The 20,186-nt window shown below is 40.3% G+C and overlaps 1 protein-coding gene and 1 pseudogene across 1 annotated transcript in view; both read left to right on the top strand.

The window, feature by feature from the left end:
* Window positions 1-682: 682 nt before the first annotated feature.
* Window positions 683-20,186, top strand: part of NXF2 (nuclear RNA export factor 2) — a 79,556-nt gene continuing 60,052 nt past the window's right edge. Inside the window, exons 1-2 of the mRNA NM_022053.4 lie at window positions 683-754; window positions 1,953-2,074. The gene's annotated coding sequence lies outside the window, so the exon portion shown is untranslated. The remainder of the gene's footprint in view (window positions 755-1,952; window positions 2,075-20,186) is intronic.
* On the top strand, window positions 12,559-15,208 carry LOC100499471 (leucine rich repeat containing 14 pseudogene; annotated as a pseudogene).

The raw sequence follows: 20,186 nt of genomic DNA on the forward strand, positions 1-20,186 counted from the left end.
GGCCGAGTCGGGCGGATTACGAGGTCAAGAGAGGGACACCATCCTGGCTAACATGGTAAAACCCCGTCTCCACTGAAAATAGAAAAACCAGCCGGGCGTGGTGGCAGGTGCCTGTAATGCCAGCTACTCGGGAGGCTGAGGTAGGAGAATTGCTTGAACCCGGGAGGCAGAGGTTGCATGAGATGGGATCCCGCCAGTGCACTCCAGCCTGGGCAACAGAGCGAGACGCCGTCTCAAAAAAAAAAAAAAAAAAAAAAAAAAAAGAAAAGAAAAGAAAAGAAAAAAAAAGAAAGAAAGAAAGCAAAGAAACCCTGGCTGGCCAGTGCCCAGGCCATACACAATGGCATTGTGCCTCACTTTTCACCTAAGACGAAATCAGCGGGTGGGGCAGGCTTATAATCAGAACACCCCTCCCTTTCCACCTCACACACTCCCACCCGCCTGTCCCACAATCCTTCCTGCCCCTCCCGCTCTCCCACCCTTGGTTTCTCGAAACCCCTTCTCCTTCCCTGCCCCCCGTCCCCCGAGCCCCAGGAGGGGGAGGGGCAGGAATCTGGCTCCGCCTCCCAGTATGGAGATGATTGGTCAAAGGAGGTCACCTGACCAAGCTGAGCCAATTGAAGTCCTCTCCCCACTGCTTTGAGAAGGAACCGTTAAGACGCTGGGCCCCACCCACAAGATTGCGTCTTGTTTGTGGCAAGATTCTGAGGGGAAGTGTAGCTCCCAGGTTGGTTCCAAGTCTTCTTCCAATTAGGTAAATTACAACAATATCTTTTCCATAAATTTCCTTTCTTTTCTTTTTTGCCTTTTTTTTTTTTTTTTTTTTTTTTTTGAGACGGAGTTTGGCTCTTGTTGCCCAGGCTGGGGCGTAATGTCGCGATCTCGGCTCACCACAACCCCCACCTCCCGGGTTCAAGCGATTCTCCTGCCTCACTCCCAAGTACCTGGGATTACAGGCATGCGCCATCATGCCAGGCTAATTTTTGTATTTTTAGTAGAGAGGGGGTTTCTCCATATTGGTTAGGCTGGTCTCCAACTCCCGACCTCAGGGGATCCACCGCCTCGGCCTTCCAAAGTGCTGGGATTACAGGCGTGAGCGTCCGTGCCCGGCCCTTCTATAAATTTTATATAAACTAGGCCTTTTTTGGCCTACATTACCTAGGGTCAAGGTTTAGGGATTCATAGGAAAGGCAAATCCGGCTGGATTGCTCAGTGGTCCACTCTCCAGTCCACTCTCTATGTATCCCTTATCTTCACGTGTGATTAGGTTCAATTGTATGGCTAATCACTTCATGTTCTCTCTTTGCAATTTCTCAGGCAGGTTTTCTCTTCTTCTTCAGAAAGTTATATTTCTCTTTTGCATCTTAGTTTTGTTTATGGTTAATTTTGATATGGCGGGCTTTAAATTGTAAATATTGGATTGTATAGATATTTTTCTTTCTATTGTATTTCATTCCTTTTATGCTTAAAAATGCTTTCCTCATCTGAAGAGTAAATACATATTCACCTGTGTGTTGAAGATGACTGGGCTTTCATCTCTTATAATCTTTTTAATGAATCATGTGGTATGAGCATGTATCCCTCTTTGTATGCATCCTTCTAACTATGTTTCAATTGGTTATTGTTAAGCAGTGTGGTTTATAGGTTGCCAGCCCTTTAGCCACTGATTTTGTCTTTTAAAATTCTTTACTCTGAAATAATTTTAGACTTACAGAAAAGTTACAAAAATGATTATACAGAGAGCCCTCGCCTGGATTTCCTTAATGTTAACATCTTATATAACCATAGAAAAATTACCAAAACTAACTACTACATTACATTGATGCACTAATTGACATTACTACATCGATGTTAATTACCAACAGTTAGCATTGATGTAGTACTATTAACTAATCTACAGATTTTATGTGAATTTCACCAGATATCTCACTGATGTCCTTTTTCTATTCTAGGATCTTATCCAGGACGCTTCATTGCATTTGGTCTTCATTTCTCCTTAGTCTCCTCCAGGCTGACATTTCCTCAATCTTTATTGGTCTTCCACAGCCCTGACACTTTTGGAGATACCAGTCAGGTATTTTGTGGAATGTCTCTCAATTTGTGTTTGTCTCATGTTTTCTTATGATTAGATTGAAGTTGTGCATTTGTAGCAAGCACACCTGTTTTATTCTCCTCCCTTTCCCAGTGGCGAGGGAGGGATTCCCACCCTAGTGTTATGGGGGCGGCTGAACACATGGTACCCTATACTGGACAGACGGAATCCACAGCAATTTATCAGTAACATTTACTCACAACTGGAGAGAGGAGGGCACCTCACGCCAGGTAGAGCCACACAGTGTCACACTCTGGAAGAGAGTGAACAAGCAGGGGCTTTCAGGGGGAAGTCTTTGTAGTAACCAGAGGATGAAGTGACCGTTGGTTCAGGGTAGGACGATTGGCTTGTTTGAATAATTCTGCAGGCTGGTGGGGACCTGAAACATGCTACCCAGAGATAAGCAGGCACTGTGTCTGTTCAACATGATAATAAGGAGGGTACTTTGGCCAGGGGGCCTTTCTCCCTGGGAACCCAATAGGGAAGATAACTTGTGGTGAGGCCATTCAGGGTCCTCCTGTTCTACCCCAGATGTCAAGGCATCCATATAATTGGACCTCTAATTTTAGGTCTTATGCGACATTACCGCAAACGTGATTTCGTTCCCTTCTATGTGGATCATGTCAGGGGTACATGACATCCATAAGTTGTATTACTGGTGGTGCTCACCTTGATCACTTGGTTAAAGTGGTGGGAGTTATGCTGCCCCAGTGTAATGCTACTATTTTCCTCTTTGTTAGTAATAAATATAGTGTGAAAAGTTCTTTAAGAAGAAACACAATAGATCCTCTTATATTCCTGTTTCTTCGCAGACTTTGACCCACTACTGTTAAAATCTGTCTAGGGATCTTGCCTACAGCAAATATTACCTAATGGTGATTTTCTGTTTTCCTAATTTCTGCTACATTTATTAATTGGAATTCCTCTGTAAGGAAGAGCTATCTTTACTCCCTCATTCATTTATTTCTTCAATTTATTTATCTCAGTATGGGCTCTTGAATAATTATGTTATACATGCCAGGCTTAATACCTAGGTGATGGGTTGATGGGTGCAGCAAACCACCAGGGCGCAGGTTTACCTATGTAATGAACCTGCACATCCTGCGCATGTATCCTGGAACTTGCAATAAAATAAAATAAAAATTTAATCTAATTATATCATTATTTTGTTCTTTGAACTGTTCTAGCCTTGGCCATTGGGAAGTCATTTTGGTTGGTTCTGTGGTCTTTTGATATGACCCTATCCTTTTTTGGTACCTTTTTCTGGCACAATAAGATGTTCAGATTCAGCATGTGTGTGCCCCCCTCCCCTCACACACACACACCCCTTATAGCCCTGGATTAAAACAACTTCTACGAGGAGCCCCGGTTCCCTTTCTTGGGGAATGATATTTACCAACCAGTATCTCGGTGTGTGTTCATTATTAATGGCGTTTCATTGCTGCTAAGGCTCTCTCTATGGAGAGGGTTAGGAAATAATGTATGTATACACCCATGCCTATAGACACATCCACATTTATTTTGGTATCTATCTGTATGCATAGCTATTAAAAGCCAGGAGCTTGTATTGATACTTTCAATTCCAATCATTCTAGACTTATTTGTAGATTCGTTCTCCGACCTGGCTTTCATTATCAAATAGTTTACATACCTGTTTATTTCTGGTCAGTAGATACATAAAGTAGCGCCTGAATTGCTAACAAATGCCCCTGTTGCAAACATGTTAATAACTTATATTTTTGTACAGTTGTTTTTGTCTTTGGCCTTAGAGGATATAGTCAAAATACTGCTCTCCAAAGTTATGTATCTTAGATCTTTTCTTCCTCTCTCCTTCAGCGTGGTTAAGACACTCATTTGTAATATTGTTAGTTGAACCTGTTTCTGTTTGATTTGGGGTACCCTCACCCCAATATCCCGGTTGATTTTAATTTTTTATTTATATTTTGGGTATGTGCATCATTACTATGATCCAAAGAGTCAGGGTTATACAAAAACCTATACTCGGAGAAATGTCACTCCTTCGTCATCCCTTCTACCCTGTTCCCATTCCCCATTTCTTTCCACTTCTTTCCCTGGCCCTCCCTGTAGGGTAATCAGCCCCTTTGGTTTCTGGTTTAACCTTTCCTGTATTTATTTTGCCCAAATGAGCAGATACATACATGTTTTCTCATATTCCTTTCTTACACGAAGGATAGCATACTATACATGTTCCTTTGCACTTTGCCTTTCCTACTTAACAGCATTCTTGGAAATCACTCCATATTGTTTCACAGAGATCTTCATCGTTCGTTTTTACAGCTGCATTGTACTCCATTGTGTGGCTGCGCCACACATAGTTTATTCAACCACTCGCCTATGTTTGGGCATTTTGTTTTTAATACAGAAACCAGGTCTCGCTCTATAACCCAGGCTGACTGAAGTGCAGTGGCACAATCATAGCTCATGGTAACCTCAAACTCCTGGGCTCAAGCAATTCACAACTGCCTCAGCCTCCCAAGTGGCTAGGACTACAGGTGTGTGCCACCATGCCTGGCTAATTAAAGACTTTTTATTTTTTATTTTATTTTTTGTCGATATGGGGCCTCGCTATGTTGCCCAGACTGGTCTGGATCTCCTGGCCTCCAGTGATCCTCCCGCCTTGGTCTCCAAAGTGCTGAGATTACAGGCATGAGCCATGGTGCCTGGCCTGTATGGGCTTTTAAATTCCTTCCAAGATTTTGCAGTTACAGACATTACTCCCGCGAATAACCCTGGACATGATTTTTTTTTTTTTTTTTGTATTGGTAGAAATGTACCTTCAAGGTATATTCCCACTAGTAGGATTATTGGGCCAAAAGTTAAGTGCACATGTAGTTTTCTTAGGTGTTTCCAAGTTTCTCTCCAGAAGGATTGTACTGGTTTTCATTTCCATTAGCAATATATGAGAATGACAATTTCCCCACAGCCTCACTAACAGAACATGTTGCCTTACTTTTGAAACTTTTTTCTACGGGTTAGGCGAGAAATGGTGTCTCGCTGTTTCTGTAATATACCTTTGTCTAACTATGAGCAAGTTTTGACACTTAACCATATATTTGAGGACTGTTTTTATACTTTTTGTTGGAATTATCTGTTCATATCTTTCCCCCATATTTCTATTGCTGTTGTGGTCCTTCATCCCTCAATATTTAAGAGCTCTCTATATATTTGGAATATTATCCAGTTGTCTGCGATATGTGCTGCAAGTACTTTACATCAATTTGTCAGTTGCCTTTTGATTTATTTATGATGCATTTGCATCACTTTCGTTTATCCTTATGTGGTCAAATGGATTGATTATTTTTTTCTTTCATTGCCTCCGGAATTTGAATCCTAGTTAGAAAGCTTTTCCCTACAGTGGGGTTCTGCCATGTTTTGTTTTGTTTTGTTTTGTTTTTTCTTTCTTTTCTTTGGTTGACATGGAGTCTCGCTTTGTCGTCCAGGCTGGAGTGCAGTGGCGCGATCTCGGCTCACTGCAACCTCTGCCTCCCAGGTTCAAGCAATTCTCCTGTCTCAGCCTCTCGAGTAGCTGGGATTACAGCCGCCCGCCACCTCGCCTGGCTCATTTTCGTATTTTTAGTAGAGACGGGGTTTCACCATTTTGGCCAGGCTGGTCTCAAACTCCGGACCTCAGGCGATCCACCCGCTTCAGCCTCCCAAAGTGCTGGGATTATAGGCGTGAGCCACCCCCCTCCCCCGGCCACTGCCATGTTTTCTTCAAGAACTTACATGGTTTCATTTGTTATGTTTAGATCCCTAACCCATTTGCAGTTTATTCTTGTGCATGCTGTGTTATATGGATCTACCTTTATTTTTCCAGACGTCTCAGTTGTTCCAGGACCATTTATTAAATGTCCATCTTTGCCCTAAAGAGTTTATGTGCCATCTTTATCATGTACTAACTGTCATATGATTTGGTTGTATTTCTGAGTTTTCTATTCTAGTCCACTGGGCTATTAGTCTATTCTTGCACCAGTGCCACAATGTCGTAATTACAGAGGCTTTATAGTGTGCTTTTCTGGCTGATATCATAAGTCCCCTCTCATAGATTTTCTTTTTCACGTGTTTCCTGGCTATGCTTGCATGTTTTCACAAATATATTAACTTTATTATCAATTTGCCTAAATGCATAAAAATGTGTGCTGGCGTTTTTGCGACTGAATTAAATTTATACACCAATTTAGGAAGAACCGACATCTTTTTAATGCTGGATTATTCCATCTAGGACAGTGACGTAGTCTGTTTGGGCTGCTATTACAAAATACCATAGACTAGGTAGTTTATAAACAACAGAAATTTATTTCTCGCAGCTCTGGAGACTGACAAGTCCAAGATAAAGATTCTGGCTGATTTGGTGTCTGGTGAGGACCCTCTTCCTCATCGATGGTACTTTCTAATTGTATCCTCAACATGGTGGAAGGGACAAGGCAGCTCTCTGAAGCCTCTTTTATGAGAGAACTAATCCCATTCATAAGGGCTCCACCCTTATGACCTAGTCGCCTCTCAAAAGGCCCCACCTCCTAATGGCATCACCTTGCGGGTAAAATTTCCTAACCTGCACATTGTGCACATGTACCCTAAAACTTGAAGTGTAATAATAATAAAATAAAATAAAATAAAAATAAAAATAAAAAATTTCAAGATAGTAATTTTGGGGGTACACAAACATTCAGACCATCTCAGATAGCGTATGTGTTTCCATTTGTTCAAGTCTTCTGTGGTGTCATTCAGGCATATTTAAAAATTTTTCTTGTATAAATGTTGTTATCAAGTTTATTCCTAAACTTTAATCCTTGTTGCTAGTGTATATGGGGCTTTGTCTGTGAATGTATCCTCCAGCTGCTTATTTTTTGTGTGTGTATTAAAAGACTGCTGATTTTTTGTATGTTAATTTTATATTTTGCTACCTTAATGACTTCTTTTACTGGTTCAGTTGATTTATCATCGTTTCTATAGGGTTTTTCAGGTATACTATAATATCATCTGCATGTAGAGATGGCTTTACTTCTCTTTGTAAAAAGTAAGTTTTATTGTGTATATCTAAGGTATACAACACGGTGTTATGGGACACGTATGGATAGTAAAATAGTTACTATAGTGGAACAAATTAACATAACCCATTATGTCACATAGTGACCCATTTTTGGTTTTGGTAGCAGTAGGCGCTAAAATCTATTCATTTAGCAGAAATCCCGCATCATATTTAATAGTACAATTGTACAAACTGTATTCCAGCATGTTGTGCACTAGATCTCTAGTCTCTTTCATCCTACATATCTGCTACTTTGCATCCTCTGACCTACATCTCCCGCTTTCCTCCTCCCATCCCCTCCTCCCCACCCCGACCCTGATAACCACTGCTTTATTCTGTATCTCTGTATATTTGAGTTTTGTTTTACTTTTATTTTTTTAAGATTCCACATATAAGTGAGATCATGCAATATTTCTCTTTCTGTATCTGGATTATTTCACTATTATTTCATTGTTATAGCATAATGTCCTCCAGATTCATCCATGTTTTGGCAAATGGCAAGATCTCCTTTTTAAAGTGTATACATACAACACATTTTCTGTATCCATCTGTCCCTTGATGGACACCTAGGTTGTTTCCATATCTTGGCTATTGTGATTAATGCTGCAGTGAACATGGGAGTTCAGATACTTTTCAAAGATCAGCTACTTTCAAAAGGTGGTTATTTTATTTCCTTTAAGTAGATACCCAGAAAAGCAGTTGCTGGGTCATATGATAGTTCTCTTTTTCACTACCATATTTTTTTCTAAAATAGAAAAATGTAGAACTACCATTTTATTTACTAAAACAGAAAAAAAAAATCTATTTCTTTAGGTACCTCCATACTGTTTTCCATAATGATTGTCCCTATCTACATTCCCATCAACAGTGTACAAGGGTTCCCTTTTCTCCACACACTCGGCAATGTTTGCCATCTCTTGGCTTTTTGATAATAGCTATCCTAATGGTTGTATGGTGTTGCCTCATAGTAGCTTTTATCTGCATTTTCCTGATGATTAATGATGTTGAGCACTTTTTCATACACCTGTTAGTCAGTGTGTATGTCTTCTTTGGAGAAATGTCTATTCAGGTCCTTTGCCCGTTGTTTAAATTTGATTGTTTTTCTGCTATGGAGTTGTATGATTTCCTTACAAAATTTGGATGCTAACCCCTTATTCATACATATGTTTTGCAAGTATTTGCTCTCAATGTGTAAGTTGCCATTTCATTTTGTTGATTGTTCCCTTTGCTGTGCTTTTTAGTTCTTCTTATTCATTCCTAGGAAAATGATCTATTTCTCTGCTCAGTTGACTAATACTTGTAATGCAAGATTGAATAGGTGTGAGGTAGTAGGCATGCTTTCCTTGTTCCTGATCCCAAGGGAAAGCTTCGAGTGCCCCCCCACCCCATTAAATAAGTTACTAGCATTAGGACTTAGGTATATATGTTTTATCATGTTAAGAAAGCATCCTGTGGTGCCTATTTTCTTAAGGCTTTTCTATTTTTTAACATAAAGAGGTGTTGAATTTTTCCAAAGGCTTTTTCAACATCTGTGGTGATAACCATATGATATTTGTCTTTAAGTATATTAATATGGTGGATGATATCAAGGTACTTTCTAATATTGAGCCAATCTGTATTGATGGGATAAATCCCACTTTGCCAAAGTATATTATGATTTTTTAAATATGTTGTTTGCTAATATTTTATCTAGCATTTTTGCATCTACACTTATCTATCCATGTCACACTTGCTTCATAAAGGAAGTTATGAAAATTTCCTTTATAATGCTGTTGAATAATTTATAGAGCATTGGCACTCTGGTACTATCTGATCTTTGAAGGTTTAGTAGAATTGACCTGTAATAGCATCTGAGCCAGGTGCTTCTTGGGAGTTATTCCTTAATAACTTTTTCCATTTTTTTCTGTAAAAATTGGCCAAGTTAAGCCTTCCAGCATTAGAGTAAAAATCTTGATAATCTGTATTTTCCTAGGAAATTATTTATTTCATGTGTATTTTTAATTTCTTTATACACAGGTTTGAAAAGCAACCTAATTTTTTCTGTTTAAATGATTATCATTTGTCGTTTATTATTTTGTATATTTGTGCTCTCTCCCTTTCTTCCTTCATTAATCTGCCTAGTGAGTTTGTCCATTAAAAAAAAAACCAGGATTTTGATTTAATAAATATACACACATTGTTTTTCTACTATGTATCTTATTAACATCTGCTTATGTATTCATTCATTCATTCATTCATTCATTCATTTTAATGACCGAATCTCCCTGGATCACTCAGTCTGGAGTGCAGCGTTGTGATCACAGCTCACTGCAGCCTTGAGCTCCTGGGCTCAAGCAATCTTCCCACCTCCGCCTCCTCAGTAAGTAGGACTACAGGCATGTTCCATCACGCCCTGCTAAAGAATCATTATTATTATTATTATTACTGTAGAGGCAGGGTCTCCTTATGTTGCCCAGGCTGGTCTCAAACGCCTGGCCTCAAGTGATCCTCCCGCCTCAGCCTCTCAAAGTGGTTGGATTACAGGTGTGAGCCACCAAGCCCGGCAATTTCTGCTTTTATGTTATTTCTTTATTTGTGTTTCTTTTGGTTTCCCGGGTTGTTCTTTTATTAGATTTTTGAGGCAGTGCTTTAATTTGTCTAATTTTATTCGTTCATTTTCATTGATGAGAGTATTTAGCGCTCTGAATCTGCTTCCAATCACTGCTTTAACTATCTTCTACAGAGTCTCATATGTAAGCTCTTATAATCACTCTTCTTAAATATTTCTGTAACTTCAGTTGGTATCTCGTCTTTATCTCGACATTTGCTTAATAGAAGACTGAACATTTTTTCCAGGTAGAAGAGCCTTTGTGCTTTCAGTTTGTGTTAGTAAGTTCTACTTTTGTTGCATCGTGATTGCAGAGGGTTGGTTGTAATATTTCTACTTTATGGAAATTAGCGAGGCCTTCACTGTGAGGTAATTATGATCACGTTTTGTTAACGTGCCATCAGCTTTTGACAAGGTGGTATATTCTTTATCTCCAAGGTGTAGATTTATGTGTGTGTATGTATGCCTATGTGTGTATACACACACACAATGTATCTTATTGTGTTGTTTACATTTTCGGTATAGGTCTCTTTATTGTACCACTGGATTTGCCTTGTACTGAGACTTGCCATGTATTAAATCTCCTATTATTACTGTGCTTCAATGTCTCCATACCTTTTGGCATTACAAAGGTGGTTCCTATGTTATTTGGTGCATAAGTATTCCTAAGTATTATATATTCACTGTGAATTTTCAATTTTAATGTTAGCATGTAAACTTTGTCATTAAAAAAATTACTTTTAGCACCTGCTTTCTTATTGAACATTTTACTATCTGGTCCACTAGTTTGTTTTTAACCCCCAGTCTCCTTTTAACACTCATCTACTGCCTTATGAAAAAAAAAAAGTTTATTCTCTTTTTCTTTCTATCTCTCTCACTTCTCTTATTTTACTTGCACTATTTCTTTTTTTCCACAATATAAAATAAATGCACGTTAGTCATTTTCCTTGCTTCACCTTCATTTTAGTATTAGATACCAAATGCTTGCCATCAGATGTTGTAGGGAAGATTTTCCTGTCGTTACCTGTGGAATCACAATCCCAGTTTACCCTTTAGAATATAAGTTAGCAAACGTTTTCTGTAAAGAGCCATATGGTAAATATTCCAACCAGTGGGCCATAGTTTGCAGACCCTTGCTCTAGTGGAGTCCTCAGGAAGGGCTGATGGGTACATAATTTCCTAAGTTCCTGTCTGTTTTTCTATAAGCTGTGATATTAGTGAAGGATCGGCTGAGCTGGATATCAAATCAGTACTTCAGACGTTTTTCTCAGCCCATTTCTGAGTTTAGAGTTTTAAGTAATATTCTAATTCAAGGCAGGTTTTATATCCTCAAATGCTTGTTTGAATGGAATTAATTCTGTTTGCAGGGTTGACGTACAGTTTCCTTCTGTTTCATGGTTGTTTAATATGTGTGAAATTTTGTCTTCTGCTCTTTTTCTCTTTCTGGAATGTTTTTGTAAGGAATTATCCTTCCTTTTGTTCATTTTTATGATATTGGATTGTTTTACCAGATTCCTATTTTACAGGTGCTATTTTCTGTCAGTGTAGAAAAATTCAGGCCTGAAATTTACTGATTTCGTTTGCTTGTTTTGGTAGCGGACAAAGAAGTTATGAGTGCTCTGATTCTGTGGTTCTCTTATGTCTTGCAAGATTCTTCATTTTCCCCTTTTGTTTCTTTTCCCCATCATTACCAAAGTGGCAAAGCATGCTTCTCCCTTTCTGTTTGCCCTTACTCTTACCCAGAAGCTGTGGATTTCAAAGGCTACTTTTATTTTATTTTATTTTAATTTGAGATAGAGTCTCGCTCTGTCTCCCAGGCTGGAGTGCAGGGGTGTGATCTCGGCTCACTGCAACTTCTGCCTCCTGGGCTCCAGCGATCCTCCCACCTCAGCCTCCCGAGTAGCTGGGACCACAGGCGCACACCACCACACTTGGCCACTGTTTTAAGTTTTCGTAGAGACGAGGTCTCACTATATTGCCTAGGCTGGTCTGAAACTCCTGGGCTCAGTGGTCCTCCTGCCTCGGGCCTCCCAAAGTGATGGGATTACAGGCATGAGCCACTGCACCCAACCCAAAGACTACATTCTAAGATCATCTCTACCCCTTTAAATTACACGTATTTTAGAGGTCCTTCCCTGTAGTCCCTGCTCTTATTATCTGGGACACCTTTTTGGTATTTTTTTAGACTTAGTCTGGGCTCAGTCATTTTAACTGTAGTTTCGGACCAACTTTAAGTCCCTTGCCTCTTCCTTTCTCTGTGTCTCTTGCAGCTTTTCTTGGTCTGTCTTTGCTTGCCACAAAGACTAGTGATGAGAGCATGACAGATCTTGTGCTGGGATTTCATGCCTTTTCTCCTTTTACTCACTACTAAAGATTTGGCATTATCTGTTTCTAAGTAACGATGAGGATGTGGCTTCTGTATAGATTTACATCTTCCTTTCTGATTGGTTTATATCCTTTTGACATGAAACATTGGGAGGCAGGTGCCTGGGTGGTCGACATTGCCTTATGCTGACTTACAGCTGATTTCAAATGGCATTTTATCTTATCTAAATACATATGTGTGTGTATACACACACAGACAGACAGACACCACACACACACACACACACACACACACACACACACACACACCAACACAGACATTTATACACACATACAAGTCTATTTGTATTCCATGTCTATAGTAGAGGTCTCTTGAAGTGGTCGTTTGATTTACCATATATTTGTTCAATACATATTTCATTTATTGCTATCTTTGGTGGCAGGCAAGAGACTGTGAAAATCTTCTCAGGATTTGTTAATGTTCCTCACCCTAAAGCAGGTTCATGTCAATGGACCAAAAGGTGCCAGCCACACTGCTAGAGCTCGCTGCATGGAGTCTGCTGAGTGATGAGCCTGCAGCTATCCATGCTCTTGAGGAGCTCCCATGAGACCTCTTTGTTCCATTGTTCATCACTGCCTTCTTGGGTGGGCAGAAGATGAAACTAAAGGCCATGGTGAGGATTTGGCCCTCCCGTTGTCTCCATGTTGGACCGTTGAGTGTAAGGGAGTCACACTATGAAATCTTGGGAGCCACGATTGATGGTCCTGCAGATCCTCCCTGCCCAGAGCTCTTCCCCTCGGTAACCCTATGTACACTAGAGACATAGTGAGTCATCAGGAGGGTATGCTGCAGCCTGAGGCAGGGGGTGGCCTAACAGTCTCCCAAAGGTGGTTGACGGTGAATGCTGAGGATCTCTGTGAGGTTGTTGGTCCAACACTTGGGGTCACCTTAAGGACTCTAATGTCTTACAGAGGTGATTATGGAATAGAGGTGATTGAGAGTACTATTGATGGATTCACCTACTGGGTATGATTACATAGAAGAACAACATGGACACCAGACTGGGGAGGATCGGAGGAGAAGGAAGGATGGGAAAAACAATAAAAGATGTTGAGTTTGTACAAAAAAATATTTGTTGGTAGATTGTTTACAGAGTGAAGAGCAAAGATAAAGGGTTTGCCCCTCCTTCCCCTCATTGATGTTGCTGGGTTATATTAAAATCAGCCACCTTTCATATTCTGTCTCTTCCTCTTCCTGCAGACGGCCAAAACGGAGGGTCCTGGATTTAAAGCAGGACCCAGACAGCAGAACCACATGCTCTGAGATCAGGAGCACATTCCCATTTTGTTTTCAGTCTTGCGTTTACTCTCAGCACTCTATCCTGAAAATAGAAGAAGCCAAGCGAAGTGTTAGGTGCCTGGAAATTGTACATTTAGAGTCTGAGTCTCGGCCCATCCAGGGAACGCATGGGATTGTTAGTGGACATTTCCCTTGATGGTACCTTGAGAACAAGGCAACTCTTTTCTTTCCTTTCGAGTAAAGTTGAGCAGAGCCTTGGGTCCTTGCATCTCTGCTGCAGAGATTTGCAAATTCATCAAGTGTCTGCCCACAAAAGCGTCCTGTAGTTTCTGGATCTGGGATGCACTGATCACCTGGAAGTAGGTCAGGCTTGTTTGAGTGAAGTCAGCACCCTTTTGGCACAGAAGATCCACCAGGACAGACTTAGTCTATCTAAAATCCTTTTAAAATCCTGTAAGGGGAGAAACTTCTCAACTTTTTTCACTCATCATGAGCGGATGAACAACCTCCAGGAACTCAGCTTGTCTTGCTTCTGCCTCACAGATCAGCTGGACAAAATTTCCGGGTGAGAGGTTGGGGAGGGACCTGGGTTCCCTGAATGCCCCATTACGAACAAAAGAGTGCGACTATTCTTAGATATTCTTAAACACTTTGTAACCTATTTCTCCTTCCACATCAGCACGGGCACTGCTGGGTGTTTTAAACTGGCCAAGCTAGAGAGTGTGGTCCCTCATGCTGAGGAGAAAGACAGGATTAGAAAAGTCAGCTGTGCCCAGTCAGTCAGTCAGTCAGTCAGTCAATCAACCATGTGCAGACGTGCAGACACTAAGATAAGTCTGTCGACATATTGGCGAAAAAGACAACAGTCCTGCTTTTATTGGAGTGTGTAGCCTTCTAGAGAGGAAGGGGAGGCATTCAGTCGGAGAAATAACTGACGCTGTAGCACTGATGCACATCCCCATGGGCTGGTCACAATAGGTAATACCGCCAGATCGTTTTGTTCCTGTAGTTTTCCCGAGGCTTAGGACCTGAATGGAGAACCTGTCATTTGGAAATTCGTCAAAGGGAATTCTCAGTCGGCTGCTTTCCCAGACCCATCCCCATCAAATAACTGAACTAGATACACTGCTAATTATACTGTAGGCACTAAGTTAAATTCTTTTTCCCTTAATCTGTCCCACAACCCTCTATAATAATTGCTATTGTGCACATTTGAAAGATTAAAAAACTGTATCTCAGCGTGGAAAAGTAACTTTCTTAGGGTCACAAATCTATTAAGTCTGACTGTAAAGTCCACAGTGTTAACTGCTGTTGCAATGGATATACAGATTACTTTATTCTAGAGTCATAAGTATCTATAATTCAGGGCTGCTTGCTCTAATCCAACCCTCATTCTTCAGAAATGCCTTCCTTTTTTCTCTCTACAGAGCCCTGCCATCTCATTTGTACACACTGTATGTGTCTTTCTGTGGACTTTCTACCAGAGAGACATCACTGTCCTATCCCAGAGCTCTGAGGTTACCCACCTAAGACTGTTGAGTCTGAGTAACAATCAGATATCCTGGGAAGTTTCTGAGCCATTCCAGGCTCTGCTGGAGACGGTCTCAGGGACCCTGCAGCATCTGGAGATAGACAACTGCCTGATAACTGATTCTACTTTCTCTGTTGTCATCCCAGCCCTGAGCCACTGTTCCCACCTCTGTGTCCCTAGCTTTGTCTTCAACCCCATTACAATGCCTGTGCTCACGAGTCTTCTGCAGCACTTAACAGCGTTGATGGAGCTGAAGCATGTGATTTATCCTGTCCCTGTCCATTGCTATGAACAATGGCAATCACATGGCAGTTTGGACATACAAGCTTGCTAAAGTGCAGGCCTCATTGAAGGTGATGCTGCAGGCAGTACCACAGAACGACATGAACTAGACCACCCATTCTCAGTGATCTTCACAGGACAAGGAGTTGTTTCATCACTGATGTGTGGCCACTAAAATACTGAGTGTTCTTGCCTGAAGCCCAATTTGTAAAGACACATAATGTGCCATTCTGCTATTCCAGGAAACTGGTGTTAGGAAGATTGGATATGTAACTGACCTCCATAAAAGAAAAACTCTAAGAAGGAAACAGCAGACTTTACGAAGTCTTGTGGGTCTCTTGCCCATTGTCCTCTACGTCCTCCTTCTTGTTACTGACCACAGTGTTGGGTACGTGACATGGGCTGACCCAGTCGTGGCACACCATTTCCCTGTCCACACTGATCGGTTCACTTATGGGTACTTGACGCAAGTCAGGACAGTTGAAACCTTTCCTGGATGTTTTTCTGGAGTAGGTGCTGGTTACTGAAGCCAATAATATTACTCACTGAGGTCCTTTAATCTTCCTGTATTCATGATTGCCTTAGGTTGCTTATGACAAACCATTGGCAATTAAAATGAAAAACAAGAACAACAAGAAACAAACTATCCCCACTACCTACTGGTGTCTTTATCAGTATATTGCTATCTCCTTTCCTAGGTCTCAGAAGCCTGGGGTTCAGTTTGCCCTTATTTCACACAGATTCACCAAAGATCTGTTATTAGCTAGGTACTGTTCCCGGTGCTAAGAATGAATAGGCAAACAAGACCCTACACCAAGTCACTCACAGTACAGATCTTCCTATGTTTTGTCTGTTTCCCCGCTCTTTTCTTAGGGGATTTGGGAAAGTTATTTTGCCCATCTATGGCCCAGAATTTTTTTTTTTTTTTTTTTTTTTTTTTTTTTTGCTTTGCCCCTTGCATACTCTGCTCAATCCACATTGGCCTCTTTATGCTGTTGGATAGCTCATCAAGACTCAGGCCGTAGCTTAGATGTTACGTCCTCCGAGAGGTTTTTCTCTTACTTCCCTCTCCTTACTTACCCCACTTCTCTCCCATTACTTCCCTTACTTCACCATGCTGTTTTTAAATGTACCATGTACATTTCCTTCATGGTACACATCATTCCATATGTATTTGCTCCCTCTGCTCCTCCCCTAGAGTTGCACTATTCAGTATAGTAAACACTAGCCACATGTGGCTACTGAGCACTAGAAATTTGGCTACTCCAAAATGTGATGTACGATAACTGTAAAACGCACACGGTATATTCAAGACTTAGTGAGAAACAAAAAATGTAGAATAACTAACTAATAACTTATTTGTATTGTTTACGTGTTGAAATGATAAGTTACTGCAGGTCAAAGACAGTAAAAAAAGAAGACAGAGTACTAATGTGTTTATATTGTTCAACATGTTGAAATGATAGCACTGCGGCAAAGACAATCACTCTCAGCATTCCTATTGAATACCTCCTTGGAAGACCCAACCGGTACAATAAAGCAAAGGAAAGCACTAAAAGGCACACAGATTGGAAATGAAGTCATGAAAAAGTGTCCCTATTTACTGACATGGTGGCTATGTATAAAATTTCTGGGAATTTATGAAAAACCTCCTAGAACTAATGAGTGAGTGTGCCTAGGTTGCCGTATACCAGGTCAATATTAAAAGTAGGTCAACTCTATTTTTATATACAGTCCTCCCTTTGCACAGTTCTGATATGCACTAAGGTCATTCACCGTGATTTAGTTAAATAACACTAGTCCCTTCACAGTATGGGTCAAATTTCAGTTACCATGGTAAACTAACTGTCAGTAACTACATAAAGACCAAACATTGCTGCTGGTTCTTCAGTCCACAAATCGCTACTGAAATAACAGATGAGAATCATGATCAGTGGCCAGTCATGTCACTTCTTTCAAATTCTGTTTGTGTCGCTCCACAAATCACTATTTAAATAATAGATGAGCATCAGGATCAGTGACCAGTCATGTCACTTTTCTTTTAAAATCTAATCATGTTTGGTCACTGAGTATCTATTATTTATTTCATGCATCAACAGCAAAGAATGAAGCTGAGTTTCCTCCTTGTCTCCCAGTGAACTACTCATATGACATTTTACCAAAGAACTGGATAGTTTAAAAAGGTAATTGGCCAACAAAGACAGAAACATGCAAACAAATGACAAGAAATAATGCTGGAAGTGGAAATTGCAAAACGGTTTTGATGGAAAGGATTAAGATATCCCAGTGAAAGTGACACTTGCAAAAAACTTTACACTACAGGATTCCTTGGAGATATTCATGACACAGAAAGAACAAAGAATAAAGTTGTGGAAGCTGATCAACACTCAAAACTGAGAAACAAAATTTGCCAAGTCACGGGAAAAAATGTCTACTCCATATCACAATTAATAAGATGAGAAGAAGGCAAGAACTGTTCATACTACTCTTTTTTTTTCCATGAGAAATTCTGGATTTAATTTTATTTGGAATGTCACCAACTTCTCTGGCATAACATATGGTATAATTATTTTTAGAATGTGATTACTTTATGAATATTTGAAGACATTTTTATGTTTTGAGCACTTTTCTGAAACAATAGCTTCTGTTTTAGTGCATAGTAGTGGACAAGGCCAGAATTGATGTTTTTCTGTAACATTAAGCTAGTAATGGTAGAAGCAGTTAGATAAATTCAAGTCCCTTGACTCCAGTCACAAGACTTCCTCTAAATTATTGTGACTTTGTAAAATATTCTTAATTTGAATTTTTTTTTTATTAATCCAATAGTTATTTACATTGATCTTAAGTAAAATTTGTATGTGGCGGCCAGGCACGGTGGCTCACGCCTGTAATCCCAGCACTTTGGAAAGCTGAGGCAGGCGGATCACTTGAGATCAGGAGTTCGAGACCAGCCTGGCTAACATGGTGAAACCCTGTCTCTACTAAAAAAAAAAAAAAACAAAAAACAAATTAGTCAGTTGTGGTGGCGGGCGCCTATAGTCCCAGCTACTCAGGAGGCTGCGGCAGGACAATTGCTTGAAACCCGGTAGGCGGAGGTTGCAGTGAGCCGAGATCATGCCATTGCACCCCAGCCTGGGCAACAGAGTGAGACTCTTTGTCTCAAAAAAAAAATTGTATGTGGCTACTTATTGTTAATTTCACTTTCATTGACATTTCTACTTTCACTTCACAGTGCTTTAAAAATAGGCAGGCCAACATTCAGATTCAGGAAATACAGAGAACACCACAAAGATACTCCTCGAGAAGAGCAACTCCAGGACACATAATTGTCAGATTCACCAAAGTGGAAATGAAGGAAAAAATGTTAAGGGCAGCCAGAGAGAAAGGTCGGGTTACCCACAAAGGGAAGCCCATCAGACTAACAGCGGATCTCTCGGCAGAAACTCTACAAGCCAGAAGAGAGTGGGGGCCAATATTCAACATTCTTAAGGAAAAGAATTTTCAACCCAGAATGTCATATCCAGCCAAACTAAGCTTCATAAGTGAAGGAGAAATAAAATACTTTACAGACAAGCAAATGCTGAGGGATTTTGTCACCACCAGGCCTGCCCTAACAGAGCTTCTGAAGGAAGCACTAAACATGGAAAGGAACAACCGGTACCAGCCACTGCAAAAACATGCCAAAGTGTAAAGACCATCGAGGCTAGGAAGAAACTGCATCAACTAACGAGCAAAATAACCAGCTAACATCATAATGACAGGATCGGATTCACACATTACAATATTAACCTTAAATGTAAATGGGCTAAAGGCTCCAATTAAAAGGCACAGACTGGCAAATTGGGTAAAGAGTCAAGACCCATCAGTGTGCTGTATTCAGGAAACCCGTCTCACGTGCAGAGACACACATAGGCTCAAAATAAAGGGATGGAGGAAGATCTACCAAGCAAACGGAAAACAAAAAAAGGCAGGGGTTGCAATCCTAGTCTCTGATAAAACAGACTTTAAACCAACAAAGATCAAAAGAGACAAAGAAGGCCCTTACATAATGGTAAAGGGATCAATTCAACAAGAAGAGCTAACTATCCTAAATATATATGCACCCAATGCAGGAGCACCCAGATTCATAAAGCAAGTCCTTAGAGACCTACAAAGAGACTTAGACTCCCACAGAATAATAATGGGAGACTTTAACACCCCACTGTCAACATTGGACAGATCAATGAGACAGAAAGTTCACAAGGATATCCAGGAATTGAACTCAGCTCTGCACCAAGTGGACCTAATAGACATGTATAGAACTCTCCACCCGAAATCAACAGAATATACATTCTTTTCAGCACCACACCACACCTATTCCAAAATTGACCACATAGTTGGAAGTAAAGCACTCCTCAGCAAATGTAAAAGAACAGAAATTCTAACAAACTGTCTCTCAGACCACAGTGCAATCAAACTAGAACTCAGGATTAAGAAACTCACTCAAAACCGCTCAACTACATGGAAACTGAACAACCTGCTCCTGAATGACTACTGGGTACATAAGGAAATGAAGGCAGAAATAAAGATGTTCTTTGAAACCAACGAGAACAAAGACACAACATACCAGAATCTCTGGGACACATTCAAAGCAGTGCGTAGAGGGAAATTTATAGCACTAAATGCCCACAAGAGAAAGCAGGAAAGATCTAAAATTGACACCCTAACATCACAATTAAGAGAACTAGAGAAGCAAGAGCAATCACATTCAAAAGCTAGCAGAAGGCAAGAAATAACTAAGATCAGAGCAGAACTGAAGGGGATAGAGACACAAAAAACCCTTCAAAAAATCAATGAATCCAGGAGCTGGTTTTTTGAAAGGATCAACAAAATTGATAGACCGCTAGCAAGACTAATAAAGAAGAAAAGAGAGAAGAATCAAATAGATGCAATAAAAAATGATAAAGGGGATATCACTACTGATCCCACAGAAATACAAACTACCATCAGAGAATACGATAAACACCTCTATGCAAATAA

The sequence above is a fragment of the Homo sapiens genome, chromosome X, assembly GCF_000001405.40.
Source record: "Homo sapiens chromosome X, GRCh38.p14 Primary Assembly".
Taxonomy (NCBI): Eukaryota; Metazoa; Chordata; class Mammalia; order Primates; family Hominidae; genus Homo; species Homo sapiens.